The following is a 21,054-nucleotide window of genomic DNA, read 5'->3' on the forward strand; positions in this document are numbered from 1 at the left end:
GATGTAGATAATGATCCCATTTTGCTTTTTTACAAAAAAAAAAAAAGGCCATGGAAAATTACATATCACGAATGTTCAGAGTGGCTGTCTCTGGATGATGGCATTGGAGTTAATTTTATCTTTCACTCTATTTTCTGAATTTCCTATATCAAAAGCAAATTGATGGTGTGAAGGGGAAAGCATATTTAATGTGATTCCTAAAAGGCTCAGCCCTCCCTGCATGGATTGAGCACTGAAAGAAGAGGGTTCTGTCACCTCTTTCGTGCTGACCCTTGCCTTTTCTAATGTTGCTCAGAGGCACACAGACGTATTTGCTTTAAGTAATTGCTTGTCTGTTTTTAATATCACATTTTGAAAAGGTATTTAGACAACATGAGTTTATTACTTTCTGTTTAACCCAAATCCTTCAGAGGTACTTAAAGCAAAATGTAAAGTCCTCTTATCCCTTTGTGAATTTCAGTCCCCAGAAGTCTCACTGTTAGTAGTTTGATTTTTACCAAAAATGTCCAGGTATTTTCTTTTCATCTGCAAATGTGTTAATAGACTCCTTTTTTTAAATTTCACACAAGCAGGATTATATCATACAAAACATTCTGCAATTTACTCTTTTCATGTAACAATAATGTATCCTGGGTATTTTTCTTTGCCAGTTCAGATCTCTTTTATCCTTTTACTAATTTATTTACCTATCTATTCATTTGCTTAACTTGATTTTATTATTATACAAGTTATCCATGAATATTGTTTTCAAAAATTTAAACAGTCAGAAAAGGTATAAACTGAAAACTCAAAAGTTCGCCTTCCCTGCCACCACTCATGTGCCCTCCTCAGAAGCAAGGAATGGAGCAGCTTTTGTGGGGTTTTTTGTTTTTTCTCTGAGACAGAGTCTCATTCTGCCGCCCAGGCTGGAGTGCAGTGGCATGATCTCGGCTCACTGTAATCTCTGCCTCCCTGGTTCAAGCGATTCTCCTGCCTTAGCCTCCTGAGTAGCTGGAATTACAGGCACCCACCACCATGTCCGGCTGATTTTTGTATTTTTAGCAGAGACAGGGTTTCACCGTGTTTTCATTAGAGACAGGGTTTCACCATGTTGCCCAGGCTGGTCTCGAACTCCTATCCTCAGGTGATCTGCCCGCCTCGGCCTCCCAAAGTGCTGGGATTACAGGTGTGAGCCACCGCACCCAGCTGCAGCTTTTGTTTTTAAACATTCTTTTCATTACAGTTACAACTTCAAGAAATACTAATGCCAATATCTCTGAGCTAAATACACTGACAGATGCAGAATGCACTTCATCATGCTGTCTCTTTTCTTACCTGGCTTTCACCTGCACACTCCCCTCTCCATTTCCTAGATTTTTATCAGCTGTTTTGTATCCTAGTGATTGGCTTTATGACTTTAAATAATATATTTAAATGTTTACGTCTCAATTCATTAGCTTTAGGCAGTATCTGAAGTTAACACCTGCTCACAAACACTGCTTTCAAATTCACATCCTACTTTTTTGTTATACTGTTATTTTTACATATTAAGGCTTATCATATATATATTCTGGCTGGACTTGGTGGCTCATACTTGTAATCCCAGCACTTTGGGAGGCCAAGGCGGGTGGGTCACCTGAGGTCAGGAGTTTGAGACCAGCCTGGGCAAAATGATGAAACCCCATCTCTAATACAAATACAAAAATTAGCTGGGCGTTGTGGCACATGCCTGTCGTCCCAGCTACTTGGGAGGCTAAGGCAGGAGGATCACGTGAACCTGGGAGGTGGAGGTTGCAGTGAGCTGAGACTGTGCCAGTGCACTCCAGCCTGGGGGACAGAGCAAGACTCTGTCTCAAAAAAACAAAAAATTATATTCTGTTGTGTTCAGTGCTTATATAATTTTACTGTGTTTCATCAGTAGGTTAGTACTCAAAACTTTTTCAGTTGAAAATCAGGCACTACAATAATATAACTATGTAAATTTTGTTCTGTAGAATTAAGTGGGATAATTGAATACATAGAGAAGGCCATCTGATACTATGTCATTAAAATTTGCCATTTGAGGGAGAATTTCCCAAATATCAAGGTTTTATGAAGCCTCTTTCGTTTTCTTTTATGTGCTTGGGGGTCACACTCGGCTATCCTTATTTCTTATAACTCATGTCATTCTTATTTGCAGTTTCGTTAGAGGACGTCCTAGTGTCGCTTATTCTTTCCTGTACGTGCATGCTCGCAAGGGGTCTTTCACTGTCCTTAAGGCTTAATGTGGACGTCTAGACAGCAATAAGCTTTTTCTACCAGCTTACAAAACTCAACACACCAAAGACTATACAAAACTCCATACCCTTCAATGGCTTGCAATGCTCTTTTTAAAAGTCACCTCTAAGGGGGTGTAAATAACATTCCACAAAATTCACCCATTTGGGGCACAATTATGCATTTTTGCAAATATATACTCTTGTATAAAGTCCACCACAATCAAAATGGACAACATTTTCACCACCCCAATAAGTTTCCTTTAGCCCTTTCTGTTCATACCCCTTATGCTACCTCCAACCACTGATCTACTTTCTAGAACCATAGCTTTGCCTTATCTAGAATTTTTCTTTCTTTTTTTTTTTTTAGTGGGGAAGGAGTTTAATTGACATAAGCCTAGCCCACACAGGAGAACTGAGTTGTCACTGAAATTAGTCTCCCCAAAGGTGTGAAGGTCAGGACTTTTATGGACAATTTGGTGGGCAGGGTAATAGATAATGGGTGTTGCTGATTGCTTGTAAAAGAAATCGTAGGGGTGTGGAAAATTGCCCTTGTGAGTGAGTACTCCTTTGGGTGGGGCCACAGGACAAGTTGAGTCATGAGTTTTGAGTTTGGGTGGGGTCCATTGGTTGCCAGAATGCACAAGTCTGGGTGTAAAAAAAAAAAAAAATCTCAAAAGACCAATCTTAGGTTCTGCAATAGTGATGTTATCTACAGGACCAAATGGGGGAGTCAGAAATCTTGTGACCTCTGGCCACATGACTCCTGAGCAGTAAGGGATTACAGAAATTATGCCTACATTTTAGCAGAATTCAGGTCCCCCCATAATCCTGTTCTTGTGGGCTTTCTTAGTCTTACAAGGGTGATTTTTGCTCCCTGAGCAAGGAGGGGGTTAGTTTTGGGGAGGGACTATTATCATCCTTGCTTTTTCTTTGAGACAGAGTCTCACTCTGTCACCGAGGCTGGAGTTCAATGGCGTGATCTCAGCTCACTGCAATCTCTGCCTCCCAGGCTCAGGTGATCCTCCCACCTCAGCCTCCCAAGTCATTGGCACTACAAGCACATGCCTCCATGCCTGGCTAATTTTTGTATTTTTTGTAGAGATGGAGTCTTGCTGTGTTGTCCAGGCTGGTCTAGAACTCCTGAGCTCAAGTGATCTCCCACCTTGGCCTCCCAAAGTGCTGGAATTACAGGCATGAGCCACTGCACTTGATGATCATTCTTGCTTTTAAGTTAAACTATAAACTAAATTTCTTCCAAAGTTACTTTGGTTTATGGCCAGCAATGACCAAGGAGAGCTTGGAGGTCAGAAGCAAGATGGAGTCAGCCATGTCAGATTTCTCTTACTGTCATAATTTTGCAAAGGTAGTTTCAATCCCCCTCACACACACTTGGGCTTCAGCACCCCTCAATCCTGAGGTGTTAGCTACGGAGATGAGAAAAGGCTAATGATTGCTCTAACTTCTTCCTGCTGACAGGGGGCATATTTGGGGGAGGGGTTGACCCCAGGGTAAAAGGAGTGGAAGTGTCTTGCAGTTGCCTGTATGTATTCAAGTGCAACTTGTTGGGGTCCAACATGTGTATAACGAAAACATTGGTGCTCTTATCCACAGATTTAGTACAGCATTTAAGAAGAAAAATAATGAGCCGTAAAAAGGAACGAGATTATGTCCTTTGCATGGAAGTGGATGGAGGTGGAAGGCATTATCCTCAGCAAACTAACGCAGGAACATAAAACCAAACACTGTATGTTCTCAATTATAAGTGGGAGCTGAACGGTGAGAACATATGGACACACAGAGGGGAATAACACACACTGGGGCCTATTGGGGAGCGGGAAGGAGAGCATCAGGAAAAATAGCTAATGGATGCTGGACCGAATACTTAGGTGATGGGTTGATAGGTGCAGCAAACCACCATAGCACACGTTTACATATGTAACAAACCTGCACATTCTGCACACGTACCCCATAACTTAAAATTTAAAATAATAGTAATAATAATAATTAGCCCTAATATAAGGAGTGAAAGTGTAAATCGCCCAGTGGGTTCACCTTGCCCGCTGCCTAGACAAAGCCAATTTATCAAGACAGAGGAATTGCAAAAGAGAAAGAGTAATTCACACAGAGCCAGCTGTGTGGAAGACCGGAGTCTTATTATTACTCAAATCAGCCTCCTTGAGCATTCGGCGATCAGAGTTTTTAAGAATAATTTGGTGGGTGGAGGAAGCCAGTGAGTCGAGAGTGCTGATTGGTTGGGTCAGAGATGAAATCACAGGGAGTCAAAGCTGTCTTCCTGCGCTGAGTCAATTCCTGGGTGGGAGCCACAGATCAGATGAGCTGGTTTCTTGATCTGGGTGGTGCCAGCTGATCCATCAAGTGCCAGGTCTGCAAAATATCTCAAGCGCTGATCTTAGGAGCAGTTTGGGGGGTGGGAGATCAGAATCTTGTAGCCTCCAGCTGCATGACTCCTAAATCATAATTTCTAATCCTGTGGCTAATTTGTTAGTCCTACAAAGGCATCTAGTTCCCAGGAAAGAAGGAGGGTTCTTCTGGAATGCGCTGTTATTGTCTTCATTTTTAACTACAAACTATAAATTAACTTCTTCCCAAAATTAGTTCAGCCTATGCCCAGGAATGACCAAGGACAGCTTGGAGGTTAGAAGCAAGATGCAGTTGGTTAGGTTAGATCTCTTTCACTGTCTCAGTTGTAATTTTGCAGCGGCAGTTTCAAAAGTCCTAGCTTCAGGAGTCCCTGTAGAACTGACCTGAAGCCTCAAGGAATCCAGGTGAATAACCCCAAAAATCAACCAAATATGGGGTCATCAGCAGAAGCTCAAGAACAATGGATGAGGCTGGAATCTAATAACAGGTGTGCTGTAGCTGTTTTGAAACATAATTTTTCTCTCTCCAGTTTATTTTTACTAAAGACAAGACCAATTTATTTGCAAAATAAGCTTGCCTTATTATACTTTGCCTAATTATTTACATAAAGTGCAGCAAGAATAATTATTGGCCATATAGGCTCTTTTTTTCTAACTGGCTTTGCTGGAATTTTTTTCATAAGGAATCTCAGATTAGACCTTTTAAAAGTCTCTTGAGCCCAGCCAAGGATTTATTTGTGCCTGCAGATACTTGTATGAATTGGGTGAATTCCTTTCTTCTTGAGGTCCCAACAAAGCTTGGAGTTCCTGGGCCTGTCAGAAAGTGACATTCTTTATTTGCCACAGGTCGGGAATCCTGTACAGGACAAGGTAGGAGGTCAGTTCCTCCAAGGGGCTTTCATCATCTCTGTAGGTCAGCCTCGATTTCTTAAAGCAGTCTGAAAATATGTCATTTCAGTCAAAGCCTTGGTAAAATAAGCAGTGTCTCCAACTGTGTCTTGCTACAAAAGAAAACACATTCTTATTGAACTTACTCAAGTAACTATATTGCCTTATGTTAAAAATACTCACAAATAATTTCCAAATTCTGGAGAAGGCAGGTAAAGAGAAAGAAATATGCTCTAAATTTTGTTTACAGGAGTATATTTTGCTCAATTGTTAAAAGTTGTAAATAGCTCAGTAGAAGTTTTCTTTACTCTGAAAAACAAAACAAAAAGAATCAGCAACAATTTTAAGTGAAAAGTCGAAAAGATTTTTCCAGTTACTGAATGTTTTGGTTGTTTCCAGCTGGGAGCTAATTAATATGAGTAACAATGCTAAGAACATATATGTCAAGTCTTTCTGTGGTCATATGTTTTTATTTCTCTTTGATAAGCAACAAGAAGTGAAATATCTGGGTCACAGGTTAAGAAGCTCCCAAATTGTTTCCTAAAGTTGTTTCGTTTCACCTTACCATCAGCCTCAGGTGAGCATTCTAGTTTCTCCATATGCTTGCCAACACTTGGTATGATCGGTCATCTAATTTTAGCATCTGGGTGGTTGTGTGGTGGCATTTCACTGTGGTTTTAGTTGCCATTCCCCTAATGACTGACGACACCGAACACCTGTTCATGGGTTTGTGTGCTGCTCAGCTGTCTTCTCTGTTCAACTGTTTGTTAAATTGAATTTTTGGCTTCTTTTATAGAGTTTAAAAGTTAATTATATATTCTCATATAGATACATGTTTTTCAAAAATGTCCTGCCTGTCTCTGATTTAGCTATTTCTTTTCTTAATGGTGTTTTTAAAGTGCAGAAGTTCTTAATTTTGAAAAGTCTAATTTATCAATTTTTCTTGTATACTTTATGATCTTCTATTCTAAGGGAATAATCTATTCTAAGGGAATAGAAGGTCACGTTTGTATGCTTCTGACTCATATTCTTTATATCCTTTGTGACACCAAGGTCACAAAGATTTCCTTCTAGGTTTTCTTCTAAGAATATAATGTACCTCTTTAAAGCAGCTTTTAAGATTGTTTTTATTTATCATTGGTTTTCAACAATACGATTATAATGTACCTTGGTGTGGTTTTCTTCATACTTGGGGTTGATATTCTTGAGTCTTCGGGTCTATAGCTTCTATCAAATTTGGAATTTCCATTTTTGGTTTCTTTAAGTTTCATAGTCTTTCTGGTAGCCCAGTTACGTGTCTTCTGACTGCGTGCTAATTTCTCCCCAGTCACTGATGCTCTGTTGTTTATGTTCACCTTTTTCTCCCTGTGCTTCACTGTGGGTACTTTCAATTGCAGTGTCTCCAAGCCCTCTGACCTTCCTTCTGCAGCACCCAATGTACTATTCATCCCATCTAGAGTTTTGGTTGTTTGTTTGTTTGTTTTTGAGACAGAGTCTCGCCCTGTTGCCCAGGCTGGAGTGCAGTGGCACCATCTCGGCTCACTGCAACCACAGCCTCTCGAGTTCAAGTGATTCTTCTGCATCAGCCTCCCAAGTAGCTGTGATTACAGGCACCTGCCACCAAACCCAGCTAGTTTTTGCATTTTTAGTAGAGATGGGGTTTCACCATGTTGGCCAGGCTGGTCTCAAACCCCTGACCTCAAGTAATTCACCTGCTTCGGCCTCCCAAAGTGCTGGGATTACAGGCATGAGCCAATGTACCTGGTCATGTTTTTTTTTCCTTTTATAAAAAAATTTTAATATTTATTTATTTATTTATTTATTTGAGACAAAATCTCGCTCTGTTGCCCAGGCTAGAGTGCAGTGGTGTGATCTTGGCTCAAAGCAACCTCTGCCTCCCAGGCTCAAGCAATTCTCCTGCCTCAGGCTCCCAAGTAGCTAGGATTACAGGCACGCAGCACCATGCCCAGCTCATTTTTTTTTTTTTTTTTGTATTTTTAGCAGAGACAGGGTTTCACCATGTTGGCCAGGCTGGTCTCGAACTCCTGAGCTCAAATGATCCTCCTGCCTTGGCCTCCTAAAGTGCTGGGATTACAGGCATGAGCCGCCACTTCTGGCCTCTCTTTTTTCTTAATTTCAGATATTGTATTTTTTTTAATCTCTAGGAGACCCATTTAATTTTTTTATGTCTTCATTTTCTCTCTTCATTGTCTTATTGCTTTCAGTTATATATTTGAACCAGTTTATATATTTTTGTCATTTCTGTTTTAAGGCACTAGTCTACTAATATCAAAATGTGTGCAATTTCTGCTCATGTTCCTCTCAATTAACTTTTCTCCTAGTTGAGAGTCATGTTTTTCTGTTTCTTTGCATGCCTGGCAATTGTTACTGGATGACAGGCACTATGAGTGCTGAATATGATTAGTGAGCGCTGAATATTATCGTGTTTCTTTAGAGAGTGTCACACTTGCATGTGGCACACTGTTAAGTTACCTGTGGATAAAATTGGTTTTTGAATAACAGTTCTGTGACTTACTGTACCTTCAGCAAGACCTTAAGCCTCAAGGAGCCTGAGTTTCTTCATCTGTAAAATGGGAAGGTATATGTCTGCTGTCAGGGCTACATATAATACATGAAAAGCATGCAGTAAAATGCCCAGCCTTGAGTCAGAAGGTGTACTAGGCACTGTGCCAGCATCATTAGTATTCATGTTTTATGTGATAGGCAAATCCTGCAACCGTTTTATGAGTTAATTTTAAATCTCTGCCTCTCTAGCAGGACATCTGTGTCTCTAGATCCACTCAGTAATTACAATCAACCCAAGCATGTTAAAGGCCTGAGACCTTTTCTTTTCTTTTTCTTTCTTTAACATTTTCCAATCTCATGTTTGAAAGCATAAAAGAGAACCTTTCAGTCTAAATGTTCTCCTGCACCCTCAAACCCGATGGAGGTGCTTCTCACTGCACGCTCCCTTCTTACACATTCCACCTCTGGGTTCTGCCAAGGAAACATTGGAGAAACAGCTCCAAAGGATTGAATGATGTCCAGGGCCTTTTAAGAGAGGTTCAAGTCGTGACCAGATGTGTATCTGGGTAAGATACGTGTGAACCTCCGTGGGAAAGACCAAGGGTTTGAAGTCAGAGATGTGGCTCAAATCTCTCTTCTGTGCTTCAGTTTCTTCCCTGTCTGCCGGAGGAGGAGGAGGAGGAGGAGAAGGAGGAGGAGAGGAGTAGGAGGAGGGGGAAGGGGAGGTGGAGGAGACGGAGGGGGAGAGGGAGGGAGATGGGGAGGGGGAGGATCTATCTAGTTTACAGGGTCCTCATGAGGCTCATGTGGGAAAATGCTTTGCAGGCTGGAAAGTACCACAGAGGTGTGAGTTATTATAAAAAGGGAAGTTATTTCCCTCTGTCAAAAAGCTATGCAGAAATATACTAATATGTAAGAAATGTTTGTATGGAGGACAGAAATAATTCATTTCATGGAGAGACAAGAGGATCACTGGCAGTAAAACTGCAGGCATTATTTATGGGAGACTCAAAGGAGGGAATGCCCCGTGTTGGCGGGCCTGCCTTTCAATCCTTGTCACAAGTCATGATCCAGAAGCTCGGCCAATTGAAGAAAGGGTCTCCATGAAGTGGAGCTCATGACCTGCCTGCATCAGCATCACTGGGGGCATTTTTTAAAAATGCAGATACCAGCACTGCTGGGGCTGGGGTTGGGAGTCTGCAAACTCCCCTGCTGGTTAAAATACAAACTGAGGTTTCAGAACTATTGTGCCAAAGAATCATAACTGACTCCATTGGGAAGTAATGACCCATGATTTGATTTCTCATTTAATTTTTCAAAATGCAAACAATGCAAAAAGTTAAAAATTGAAAAATAGGTTAAGGCCCATAGTCTCATCAATACAAGACACAACTGTAGTTGGATTAACATTTTGGCATATTGCTAACATATTTTAATAATCACTACTGTGAGAGTTTTTTAAAACATAAATTTACATGGTGTTCCCCCCCCAAAAAAATTCACTCACATAAAGGAATTTTATCCGTCCCCAGAATTACCTAATGAATTTCAAGCTTCTCTGTTAGCAGAATCAAATGTAGGTGACTCGATAAACAAGTGTCTGTCTTTGACTTAACACAGCTTTATAAAAATGCCTTCTTCCTTCCTTCCTGAAGGTCTGCTCAGCACCCTCAAACTTTTTACCACCTGAAAATCTTTTCTATCAATTTTACCACAATGGGGGGAGGTGAATTTCCACAAAAGATCTTTTCACTTTAAAAAATTGAAATGGCCACATAATTTCTCCTCCTAACTGTGCCGAAGTACCTAAAAGTCACAGGTTGGCATTGCTAGGTCAGCCTTTTGCAGGGGCCACACGTGCCCAAGGCCCTTACACACCCAGCCAGGTGTTACAGAGCAGCCTCTCACCATCAGGCTCTGTGCTAGTGCTGGGAAAAGATTCTGCTGGCATTTAAAAGTATTGCACAAGGAGGCCAGATGCAGCGGCTCATGCCTGTATCCAACCCAGAACTTTGGGAGGCTGAAGTGGGAGGATTGCTTGAGTCCAGGCATTCAAGACCAGCCTGGGCAACATGATGAAATCCCACCTCTACATAAAATTGTTTAAAAAATTAGCCAGGCATGGCAGCACGTGCCTGTGGTCCTAGCTACTCGGGAGGTTGAGGTGGGAGGATCACTTGAGCCCAGGAGTTCAAGGCTGCAGTGAGCCATGATCACGCCTCTGCACTCCAGTCTGGGTGACAAGAGACAGACAGATGAATGAAAGAAAGAAAGAAAGAAGGAAAGAAAGAAAGAAAGAGAGAGAAAGAAAGAAAAAGAAAAGAAGGAAAGGAAAGAAAGAAAGAAGAAAGAAAGAAAGAAAGAAAGAAAGAAAGAAAGAAAGAAAGAAAGAAAGAAAGAAAGAAAGAGAAGGAAAAGGGAAGGGAAGGAAGGAAAGGAAAGGAAGGGATATATTGCACAAAGCATTAGCTGTGAATGACTGTAGCACACACTCTACAATCCAGCAATGGAAAAGCTTTGTTTTCTGAACGTGTTTTCTATCTTCATGTGTTTGGAAAAACACCTATTTCTGAAATACTACCCAACCCTGTTGGGAGTGTGCCTGGTATTTTTTTCTAGTGTTCCCAGTTTCTCATCCTTTGCTCTTTCAACTCCCAACTAACAAGTGTGGAAGGACTGATGGAATCAGAGCACGCCCATTTTGTAACCACTAATGGGACTTTTAAATGTCGGTGAGGAACTTGTCAATGGAGGAATAGGGATGCCTGAGCCTCGACCTATCTTAGCATCACTAAAATGGTGCAGGTAAACACTGTGAGCCTCCTGGTAGGATGCAACATGGAGCACAGATCACCTCCTCGACAGCATCTCTACCAAGAGGGGCTGAGCTTGAATCTAATGGAGCCTACAGAGGTAACTCTATGTGTAAGAAGGACGAGAGGGAAGAGCAAGTGATGAACCATCACAAGGACGCAAAATCCAAAATGGAGAACATTCTATAGGACTGGCCTTTACAAATCAAAGGCTTGAAACTAACCAAAGTCAGAGCAGAAGGGACTCCTGTTTAAAGGAAACCTAAGACGTTGAGTTATATACGAACCTTGTTTGAATCCTGAGTAGGACAAACTAAGCAAGAAGCTATTTTTAAGTCAATTGTTAAAATGTGATTATGAATTGGGTTCAATGGCTGGATGGTTAGATGATACCATGGAAATATTGCTAGTTTTGTTAGATGTGATGAAGTAACATTGGGGTTATGTGAGCAAATGTCTCCATGCTTTAGAAACAAATGCAAAATATGGGGTGGTGAAATGACTTGCTTCACTACATTGATTTCATGTTGTTTCCAAGTTTCATTCATTTAGAGGAAATAAAACGATATGATGTAAAATACTGCAACCCAGAAAACAATTTTAAAGATAATTATTGAATGTGGGTGATGAGTGTAGAAGAGTTCTATTATTATTAATATTATTATTTTATTTATTTTTTTGAGACAGTCTCACTCTGTCAACTAGGCTGGAGTGCAGTGGCAGGATCTTGGCTCACTGCAACCTCCACCTCCTGGTTTCAAGCGATTCTCCCACCTCAACCTCCCAAGTAGCTGGGATTACAGGCATGCGCCTGGCTAATTTTTATAGGCACGTGCCTGGCTAATTTTTGTATTTGTGGTAGAGACGGGGTTTCACCATGTTGGCCAGGTTGGTCTCAAACCCCTGACCTCAAATGATCTCCCACCTCAACCTCGCAAGTGCTGGGATTACAGGCATGAACCACTGTGCCTGGCCAATATTCTTGACTTTAGTATATTTTGGAAGGTTTCATAAAAAATAGTTTTCATCTAAAAAAATCTGTTGTAGCCATCCTTCTCAGGTCTGGCTAGCGTTTTCTCCCAGGTGGAAGTAATTTCTTTTTGCTGAGCTCACAAAACACTTTACCCAGGCCTCTCTTTGGTACAGAATCATGCCCACTCTGAACTGATGGAATCGGGTGCATGCCTTTCCTCCTTATTTTCCTGTGAGAGTGGGCTCCATCCTTGTTTCATGCCTGTACCTTCCGCTATGCCTGACATAGTTCATGGTTGACAGCAACTGAATGTCTGTGGCTGAATGAATAGAAGAACCTCGTTGCTAGGAACTGTTATCGGGGCTGTTTCAGGTTCACATGTGGAGAGGTCAGTATTAGGGCAAAGGTGAGGAAGCCTCATTTCAGTGGTGTTGTCCTGAGTTGAGACATGAAACATGAATTTTAACTCAAATTCTTTGGCCCCTTCTTTAATTCAGAGCCATAGGCCAATCACCGTACTTTCTTCATTTACAAGATGAGTATAGCATTGGTGGTTTGTACTGGGAGAATTTGGAATTCTGGATGTTGGTGAGATGCTCCATATGGGATCTCATGCCGGCAGCTAGCATGGCATTGTGATCGCGACACCCAGGGTGAGTCCCAGCTTTGCCAGTAGGTACCCCTGTTCTACCTGGATGCTACCCACCTATGTCTGGCAGGTCAAATCAGAAAGGCAAAGCCTCCAGCACATAACATGGCAAGGCTTCCAGATACAAAATAGCAAAACTATTTTGCCACAGGGGAGATGATAGGGAATCTGAACTGTCCCCTCCAAGGGACACAGAGCCTCAGGCAGGGCCACAGGTGCACCTGTTTTGTGCAGAGGGCTCAAGCAGCCCTGGAGACAGTAACACCCTCCAGCTGCCAGCTCTGCCACCTTCAGCATGACCTTACCAAGCCACCTCGCCTCGCCTTCTTCAGTGGTAAAATGAGGATAACTGTAACCAATTTATCAAGGCTAACATGTATTAGAAAAAAAGAAAAACTCGTTATCCGTCAAGTGCTTTTCAACCATGTCATGCTAGCCAAGTGCAAATAAGGGGTTTCTAGTTTCTCTATTTTTAGTTGATGCCTCCACCACACCCCTTGTTTGACTGAAGCTGTGTTTCAGGCTTTGAGCATCTCCCAAAGCAAACATTGACTGCCCTGCTCTGGTGAAAGTCTGCATTAGAGGGCCTAGCTGGTTTCAAATAAACAAACAACTCCCCTTTCCCACTTCCCCTCCTCTTGCTGACTCCCCCGACTAGACACACATGCACACGGTGCACATGCATGCTCTCTCACACATGCATATACACGTGCACACATAGACACACACACACATATATACACACACATATTCAAGCACATACACACATGTGTATTCACACGCATGCTCTCGCTCTCACACACACACAAGTGCACATAAGTGTGTATGCTTCCTCTCCCACTCTCTCACAAACATACACAGACTCACACCCTTCCCACAATGCAGCAAAGCCATCTGGAGCCCCAGCCAGTGTGTGATGCGTTTTGCCTCTGTCTGGACTTCTGCACTTCCTGGCTTCACCCAACCTGAAACTGCTGGGTGCAGCCCGAGCACCAGTGACAGCCCTGGTTGTCCCATGGCCTCTTGAGGAACCCAGGTCTCCAGTCAAAGCCACTGGAGTAGGGGGACCCATAGAGACCTGAGGTACTCATGAGACCCATGGAAAATCATCTGCACACACACTGCTAAGGAGTCAAAGGACAGAAGTGTAAGTAGTGGGTCATTTAATCTTAGGAATTTTACTTTCTGTCCGGTTCTTTGTTCAATAAATTGAACAACCAATGTTCAATTATGTTGTCTCAGTGGACACAGGTGTTTGCCAGGAAGCTTAAAGTCAATGGCAATATGGCTGGCCAGACTAAGAAAGACAAGAGGGCTGGTCACCTGGGCAGATGCGGAAGTATGAGTCCAAGTCTGGGGAATATACTAGGAGCTGCTGACCACTGGCCCTTCGTTGAGTCAGGGAGGCTGAGAGAGGCCACGAAAGGCCTGAGGTTCAGGCAGCCCTGGCTGGCCACTTAACGGTCATTGTCAAGAACTGCAGGCTGGCCCTGGCTCCAGGCCTTATGCTCCTCTGTTGCTGGGCAAATCACTCAAATCCTCCTTTTATTTTTCTGCTTGTATCAATAATATATGCTTAGTATTAAAGAATTTAAGAAATATATACAATTAAAAGAAAGAAAGTCAAAGTCACATGAAGTCTTATAATCCAAAATCCATTTAGAAAATACTTTGGTGGGACCTGCTTTGCATTAGCACACACACCGTTTTTTAAGTCCGCTGGTTTTTTTTTTGTTTTGTTTTGCCTTACACCACACCTCTGTTTTGTACTCTCCCTTCCTCTAACAATAACCACAGTAAACAACTTGGTGTTCATCCTCCCCAGCCTCTTTCTGTGTAATATGCAAACATATCTACACGCCTGAATAGAGGTTTCTTTTCATTTGGTGTTTGCAAATATGGGATTCCCTCATGCACCTCTTTGGGTCTTACTTTTCTCGTGTAACAACATGGTACCGAAATTCCTCTTGACCTCACTGGTGAAGATCCAGCACATTTTTTTTAGTAGTTGTATGAGAGATTTATAGAGTGTAGATTTATTCAACAAGTCTTCAATTGCTGGGCAGTTACATTGTTGTTTTCTGTTTGGGATTTTTTTTCGGGGGAGGGGATTGTTTTTCCAACTATTACTACAACAAACATTTTCATCTCTCACATGTGTCTATATAATGATGTTTTATTAACCTGAGATAGTCCAGAGTGGGACTGAAAATCAAAAGGTATGTGTGCTTTTTTATTTTAACAGAATTTAAAAGATTGCCCTTTAAAAGAATTTAAAAGATTGCTTCTTCCAATAATATTTCATGTTTTGTCTAATAAATATTTATTAAGCCCACACTCTGTGCCAGACATTGGTTTAGCAATTTGGATTCAGCAATGAATAAAACAAAGATTCCAGCTCTCACAGAAGATTAATCCTAGAAATGGAGCGTGAAGGAACAAATGAAACAATAATTATAACAAACATTTTACTATTTGGGTTTGTGTTGCACTAACTTCCTATTTCTTATCTTTACACATTTTTCTATTGAATGAATTATATGCTGCAATATACTTCCTGTCAAAAGTTTATGAGCTTTGTATATATTATGAATACACATTTATCTGATGCTTTGCAATCTCTTACCCAATCTATTGCTTATCTACGAACTTCATGAGTAGTTTCTTATACCATCTAATATTTTTAATGTTTATGAATTTGTACTTTTTTTGTTCTCTCTTCGCTTCTGGGTATTTTATCTTTGTTAGTAGTTGTCTCCAAACTCTGGGTTATATACACAGTTTCTTACATTTCTTTTAATTACATTTTTGTTTTTTATTTTTTTCAGTCATACACCTAGAATTTATTTTTTAATATCATGTGAGGTAGGGGTTCAATTGTATTTTCCTTAAGGTAAATAGTCATTTTCCTAATACCATTTATTAAAATAAACTATCCACTTTCTACTGAATTAAAATGCTATCTTTTTCACATACGCGATTCCTGTATTTACCAAAATCTGTTTGTATGTTTTTTATTCTGCTCTGATGATTGTTGTCTACTTTTATTATTCCAATTTCATGCGGTTTTGATTACAATCTTCTATTTCATAATTATAAAGCTAGGTTAAGACTTAATTTAGTCATGTAAAGCTTCAGATGATTTTATGCAATTACAAATTATAATTTTAATTAAAAGAACATTCCATTTATATTAGGAACAAGAAAAACATCACAATCAAAAAAGAGAACAGAGTATAATAATTACAAGACAATGCTACATAAAACTATGGCAACAGATTGGAAAATGTAGATGAAATTAAAGATCTATAAACCATATAAATCATCAAAATGGCACAAAGAGGAGAAAAAATGGGAATAGATCATTCCTATAGAAGAAATTGGAAATGTCTTTAAAGATTTACTATTTGAAAGGGCCCCAGACACAGATGGCTTCACAACTGAGTTCTATTTAGCCTGTGAGGAACAGATAACCCCACTGTTATGAAACCACTCAAGAAGATAGAAAAAAAAAAAAAAGAGAGCTCCTCAATATCTGTTACAAAGCCAGCGCACCTTAATGCTAATGCCTCATAGACAAATCTCCCTTGGGAATACAGATTCTCATTCTAAATAAAATATTAGCAAATAGGGCCGAGTGTGATGGCTGACACCTGCAATCCCAGTACTTTGGGAGGCTGAGATGGGCAGGTCACTTGAGCTCTGGAGTTTGAGACCAGCCTGCATGACATGGCAAAACCCTGTCTCTACCAAAAAATAAAAAATTTAGTAGGGCATGGTAGCACATGCCTGTCATCCCAGCTACTCGAGAGGCTGAGGTGGGAGGATCACCTTAGCCTTGGGAGGCAGAGGTTGCAGTGAGCCAAGATTAGGTCGTGGGACTCCAGCGTAGGCAACAGAGTGAGACACTGTCTCAAAACAAAATAATTAGCAAATAAGAATCCATCCATGTGCCAAATAGACTAATATGCTGTAATCAAATAGTATTTTTCCAGGAATGTACAGATGTTTCAATAACAGAAAATTTACCAACATAATTTATTACATTGACAAATTAAAGGTGAACATACATCATATTGATCGATATTGTATAGGCACCTGCTAAAATTCAGTAGCCAGCCGCAATACAAACCCATCGTCTCTCTCTCTTTTTTTTTTTTTTCGAGATGGAGTCTCACTCTGTTGCCCAGGCTGGAGTGCAATGGCATGATCTTGGCTCACTACAACCTCCGCCTCCTGGGTTCAAGTGATTCTTTTGCCTCAGCCTCCTGAGTAGCTGGGATTACAGGCCTGCACCACCACACCTGGCTAATTTTTGTATTTTTACTAGAGATGGAGATTCACTGTGTTAGCCAGGCTGGTCTCGAACTCCTGACCTCAAGGGATCTGCCCGCCTCGGCCTTCCAAAGTGCTGGGATTACAGGTGTGAGCCACCGTGCCCAGCCAAACCCATAATCTCTTATCCAAACTTCTGAAACCCTAAATCTCTGAAAACTGAAGTGATACTTGTAACCCTGGCACTATAATTCACTTAGTGGTAAAGCTGATCTGAGCTCACATAAAGAAATACTTAGATATAAAAAGTGTTGGTCTTTAAAACTGTGAATTATTATGTGTTCTGTATGTAAGGCATACTTGAAAAAACATACTTGTGAATTTTTCGCTTCTGTGGCTTGCTGTCCTATATCGAAATTTGTTATAGTGTTTTCTTTTTCAAGGTGGGTTTGAGGAGCAATGACATGAGGAATGTGCTTTCAGCTCTCTGGAAGAAATGCATGACTGTGTTTCACTTAATCGAAGACGCCACTGATAGGAAGGCTAGCATTTAATTATGTATCACTAAAAGAGAAAAAAAATGCTGCTACTAGTTATACTGCAAAGCATCCTCCATTGTGAGACACCTCCCAGTTCAGAGATATTGAAAAGTGAAAAAAGGTCCATCTTAGAATTGATGAAATATGGTGTGTACATCCAAAGGAAATCACCACTAACAACACGCCCTTCTGACACGCGTGGGGACTTGGGTGCTTCCTCTCTATGATGTCTGCATCTCAAGGAAGAGCCCGATGTAAGTGCAGGAGTGCAGTGGTCTCAGGTCAGACTGGACTCCAGAGCTGGCTCTCACGGGCCAGTTGTTTGACCCTGAGCAAACTCCTTAACATATAAATAGCAGCCCCTGGAATGAGGATGGTGACAACATGGTGGTGTTGATGGTGTCAAAAGGGCCTGTCCCACATCTGCCATCCTAAAATTCTTTACCAAAGAAAAAAACCTGACCACATCTTCCCCCCTTTAAGGAGACCCCTGATATTACTGTGAGGCCACAGCTAGGCCTCGATGCCTGTGCTATCAATCTGTCCTAAATGTATATAGTGTCTCACCCAAAAATCTGAGAGGGAGAGAACGTTAGTCATCTTCTAACAAAGCCCCTGCTGTTTACCAAAGAGCTAATGGGTCGGAGAGAAAATGTCACTTTCCCAAGTGACACAGCCAGAGACAAAATGAAAACTAAACCCAGAGCCCCAGACACATTGGTGGGCTCTTTCTAGAACACCACGTGGCCTCCCGCTCAGGCTCCTGTCACCTGAGGACCTGGATCCACCCCAGTGGTTTCCAGCGGTTATCTCCAGCCAGAGGATTTCTGTGTCCTAAATGCAGTGCTTTCTGCTGTATGGGCCCCCGAAAAAAGATGGACACCCATTTAGCTCACCCACCCGCTTCTACCCACGTTCTGACTTTGAGGTCTTTGCTGCACCCACTTCCACCCCACCTTTCTAACCAGCCTCCCGGAAGGGGCCAGGGATCCCCTCTGTGCAGAGGATCTGAGGCCCCGCTCTCTCATGTCCTCTGTCTGCTGTGTGTCTCCGACAGGATGGGGCTGGTAAGTAGCAAAAAGCCGGACAAGGAAAAGCCGATCAAAGAGAAGGACAAGGGCCAATGGAGCCCCCTGAAGGTCAGCGCCCAAGACAAGGACGCCCCGCCACTGCCGCCCCTGGTGAGTGATTGCCCACCCCCACCAAGAGCAGATTACTTACTTCTCCTATGCCTTAATGTCCAAGTTTGTAAAATGGGTATAGCAAAAGTGCCTTCCTGATAGGGATGTAACGATCTGCAATGTATAAGCAGGTGTGCCATGCAATATAACACGCACAGGACCCGGCCTGGTTAGCTCCCAATAATTCTTAGCCAGAGCTCATTTCTCGAGGGCAGCCTTGAAAAGAAAAAGAAATGTAAAAAGGTCAGCTTGGGGAGAGGGTGTCGTAAGGAAGGATCCGGGTATCTAGCTGCAGCTACTACCTCTCTTCTCCCCAGCAGCTCCTGGAGACCCTTGTCCCCTATGTGGCATTGCTGCTGGCATTCCAAAGAGCCTGCTTTCCTGGGATAAGCATCATGAAACAGGAGGGTGCCTGTCCTCACCTCCCGAGCAGGCTCTTAAGTTTTCCTGGAATCCCATGGGCATTTTAAATGAGGAAAACTTTCCAAAGGAAAAAAAAAGTGAAATTTCAAGTGAAAAGGTCTTATTGCTGGGGAATGCATTTTCCTAGTCATGCAGTTTGATTTGTTTATAAAACACTTAGCTCCTTTTGATGGCTACAGCATGTCTGAAGATGCATTTTTTTTTTTTTTTGAGACAGAGTCTCGCTCTGCTGCCCAGGCTGGAGTGCAGTGGTGGGACCTTGGCTCACTGCAACCTCTGCCTCCTGGATTCAAGTGATTCTCGTACCTCAGCCTTCTGAGTAGCTGGAATCACAGGCACACATGCCACCACACCTGGCTAATTTTTACATTTTTAGTAGAGACAGAGTTTCACCATGTTGGCTAGATTGGTCTTGAACTCCTGACCTCAGGTGATCCACCTGCCTTGGCCTCCCAAAGTGGTGGGATTACAGGTTTGAGCATCCGTGCCGGGCCTGAAGATACATTTTTAGATGATTCTTTGTGCTCTCTCCACTCCCTGACCAGTGACCCCCTTTTGGTTTGGGGCAGTTGGGAGCCTTGCCGCGACCCCCTCTCCTGTGCTGTCCACATGTCCACGTGGTCATCTCTTTATCCTAACAGGGACCTGATGGGGAGACGGGGATTACTAATCCCACTTCCTAGATGAACCCAGGCATCTTACCTATCTGTGTCCCAGTTTAGCGCCAGTCTCAGCGCACAACCACAAGATGTTTATTGAATAAATAATTGATCAAATGGGGAAACTTGGACTTAGACTGATTGAGTAATTTCCCCAAAATTATATGATAATAAGTAGTAGCACCTGGAATTTTTTTCACTTAAAAGAGTCACATAATATGTATATGGAAAAAATTATAATTACTCATTATTCCACTATGTAGAGTCACCAGAGTTGCCTCGAGACCCTTCTTCCGTGTGTTCATTTCATGTGTTCCTATTTTTAAGAGAAACATACATGCACATCATTTTGCAAAATGCTACTTCAAAATTGTGTTCAATAAATATGGAATTAAGAAAAGAATATTTGTAACATATGTCAGGTTGAAAGAATACACCAAAACGCACACTTGTATAGCCACCTCCCAACTTCAGACAAGAAAGAGACTCGTTCCTTTGAATCTCCCTCCTCCCTCCCCTGTTTGTACCCTTCACCCCAGGCCCCAATACCCAGAATCTGTTTATCATTCCTTAGCTTTGCTTTTTAATATTATCACATATGTATTACCCCTAAACGATATTTAGTTTCATTATTCATGTTGTAAACTTTAAATCAACTACATCAAACAGCGCATATGCTTCTGAGACTGGGGTTGTGGCTCCGTGTTACGCATGTGAAACATATCGACGTTGATGCACGTGGCTGTTGCTCATTAATTTTATTGCCTGAGTATACTGTAATTTGTTTATTCTTCTGTCATGAGGGTTAGTTCCACGTTTTAAAATTGTTTATGTATCGGTCGGGCATGATGGCTCACGCCTGTAATCCCAGCACTTTGGGAGGCCGAGGTGGGAGGATCACTTGAGGCCAGGAGTTCAAGATCAGCCTGGCCAACATGGCGAAAACCTGTATCTACTAAAAATACAAAAATTAGCTGGGCGTGATGGCGGGCACCTGTAATCTCAGCTACTTGGGAGGCTGAGGCACGAGAATTGCTTGAACTGAGGAGGCGGAGGTTGCAGTGATCCGAGATTACGCCACTGCACTCCAGCCTGGGCAACAGAGCGAGACTCCATCTCAAAAAAAAATTGTTTATGTATTATGATTTTTGCTAGGAGCCCTCTTGTACACATTCCCTTGTACACTCTTGTACACATACACAGAAGTTTCTCTACAGGATATATACCTACAAATATGTTTGTCGAGTTTTGGGGAAATATGCTTTTTAAATATTTTTTCTTGTCAACAAATACCCGTTTGCAGTTTGATCTTGTAATGGTAGAGCCAGGATGTTAAGCCCAAGTGGTTGGGCTTTCCCTCATTGTCCACAGCTGTCTCATATCCACATTGGGGCATCCCCCAGCGCGGTCAGGGCAAAGGCAGCAGAGGGCGGGGGTCTGTCTGAGGGTAGTGCTGGTCCCTGGGTACAGAATGTCCCTGAGCAGCCCCCACAGGCAGCTGCCTCTCCTC

At 42.0% G+C, this 21,054-nt stretch overlaps 1 protein-coding gene across 11 annotated transcripts in view, besides 5 other annotated features; it reads left to right on the plus strand.

Annotated features, from left to right (window-relative positions):
• Positions 1-21,054, plus strand: part of BLK (BLK proto-oncogene, Src family tyrosine kinase) — a 70,213-nt gene that overhangs the window by 30,499 nt on the left and 18,660 nt on the right. For 4 of the 11 annotated variants that reach the window (XM_011543824.2, NM_001715.3, XM_011543828.4 and 1 more), the window contains exon 2: positions 18,339-18,462. The exons of 2 other annotated variants lie outside the window; for them this stretch is intronic. In XM_011543824.2, the coding sequence (XP_011542126.1) occupies positions 18,340-18,462 (123 nt within the window). In that variant the 5' untranslated portion in view covers position 18,339. Of the gene's footprint in view, positions 1-13,434; positions 13,615-14,390; positions 14,687-18,338; positions 18,463-21,054 lie in introns of those variants that run through there. 5 more of the 11 variants (XM_047422081.1, XM_047422082.1, XM_047422084.1 and 2 more) reach the window with 2 other exon arrangements.
• Positions 6,960-7,039: an enhancer, noted in NCBI's record as "active region_27023". NCBI's record gives its function as "activates an Ori minimal core promoter by ATAC-STARR-seq in GM12878 lymphoblastoid cells {active_cell/tissue: GM12878}" and the evidence as "EXISTENCE:reporter gene assay evidence [ECO:0000049][PMID:35858748]".
• Positions 7,210-7,269: an enhancer, noted in NCBI's record as "active region_27024". NCBI's record gives its function as "activates an Ori minimal core promoter by ATAC-STARR-seq in GM12878 lymphoblastoid cells {active_cell/tissue: GM12878}" and the evidence as "EXISTENCE:reporter gene assay evidence [ECO:0000049][PMID:35858748]".
• Positions 12,736-12,965: an enhancer, noted in NCBI's record as "active region_27025". NCBI's record gives its function as "activates an Ori minimal core promoter by ATAC-STARR-seq in GM12878 lymphoblastoid cells {active_cell/tissue: GM12878}" and the evidence as "EXISTENCE:reporter gene assay evidence [ECO:0000049][PMID:35858748]".
• Positions 13,279-13,443: a silencer, noted in NCBI's record as "fragment chr8:11395673-11395837 (GRCh37/hg19 assembly coordinates)". NCBI's record gives its function as "represses an EF-1alpha promoter that drives an FKBP-Casp9 reporter gene in an ReSE screen in HepG2 liver carcinoma cells {active_cell/tissue: HepG2}" and the evidence as "EXISTENCE:reporter gene assay evidence [ECO:0000049][PMID:32094911]".
• Positions 14,126-14,205: an enhancer, noted in NCBI's record as "active region_27026". NCBI's record gives its function as "activates an Ori minimal core promoter by ATAC-STARR-seq in GM12878 lymphoblastoid cells {active_cell/tissue: GM12878}" and the evidence as "EXISTENCE:reporter gene assay evidence [ECO:0000049][PMID:35858748]".

The sequence above is a fragment of the Homo sapiens genome, chromosome 8, assembly GCF_000001405.40.
Source record: "Homo sapiens chromosome 8, GRCh38.p14 Primary Assembly".
NCBI lineage: Eukaryota > Metazoa > Chordata > Mammalia > Primates > Hominidae > Homo > Homo sapiens.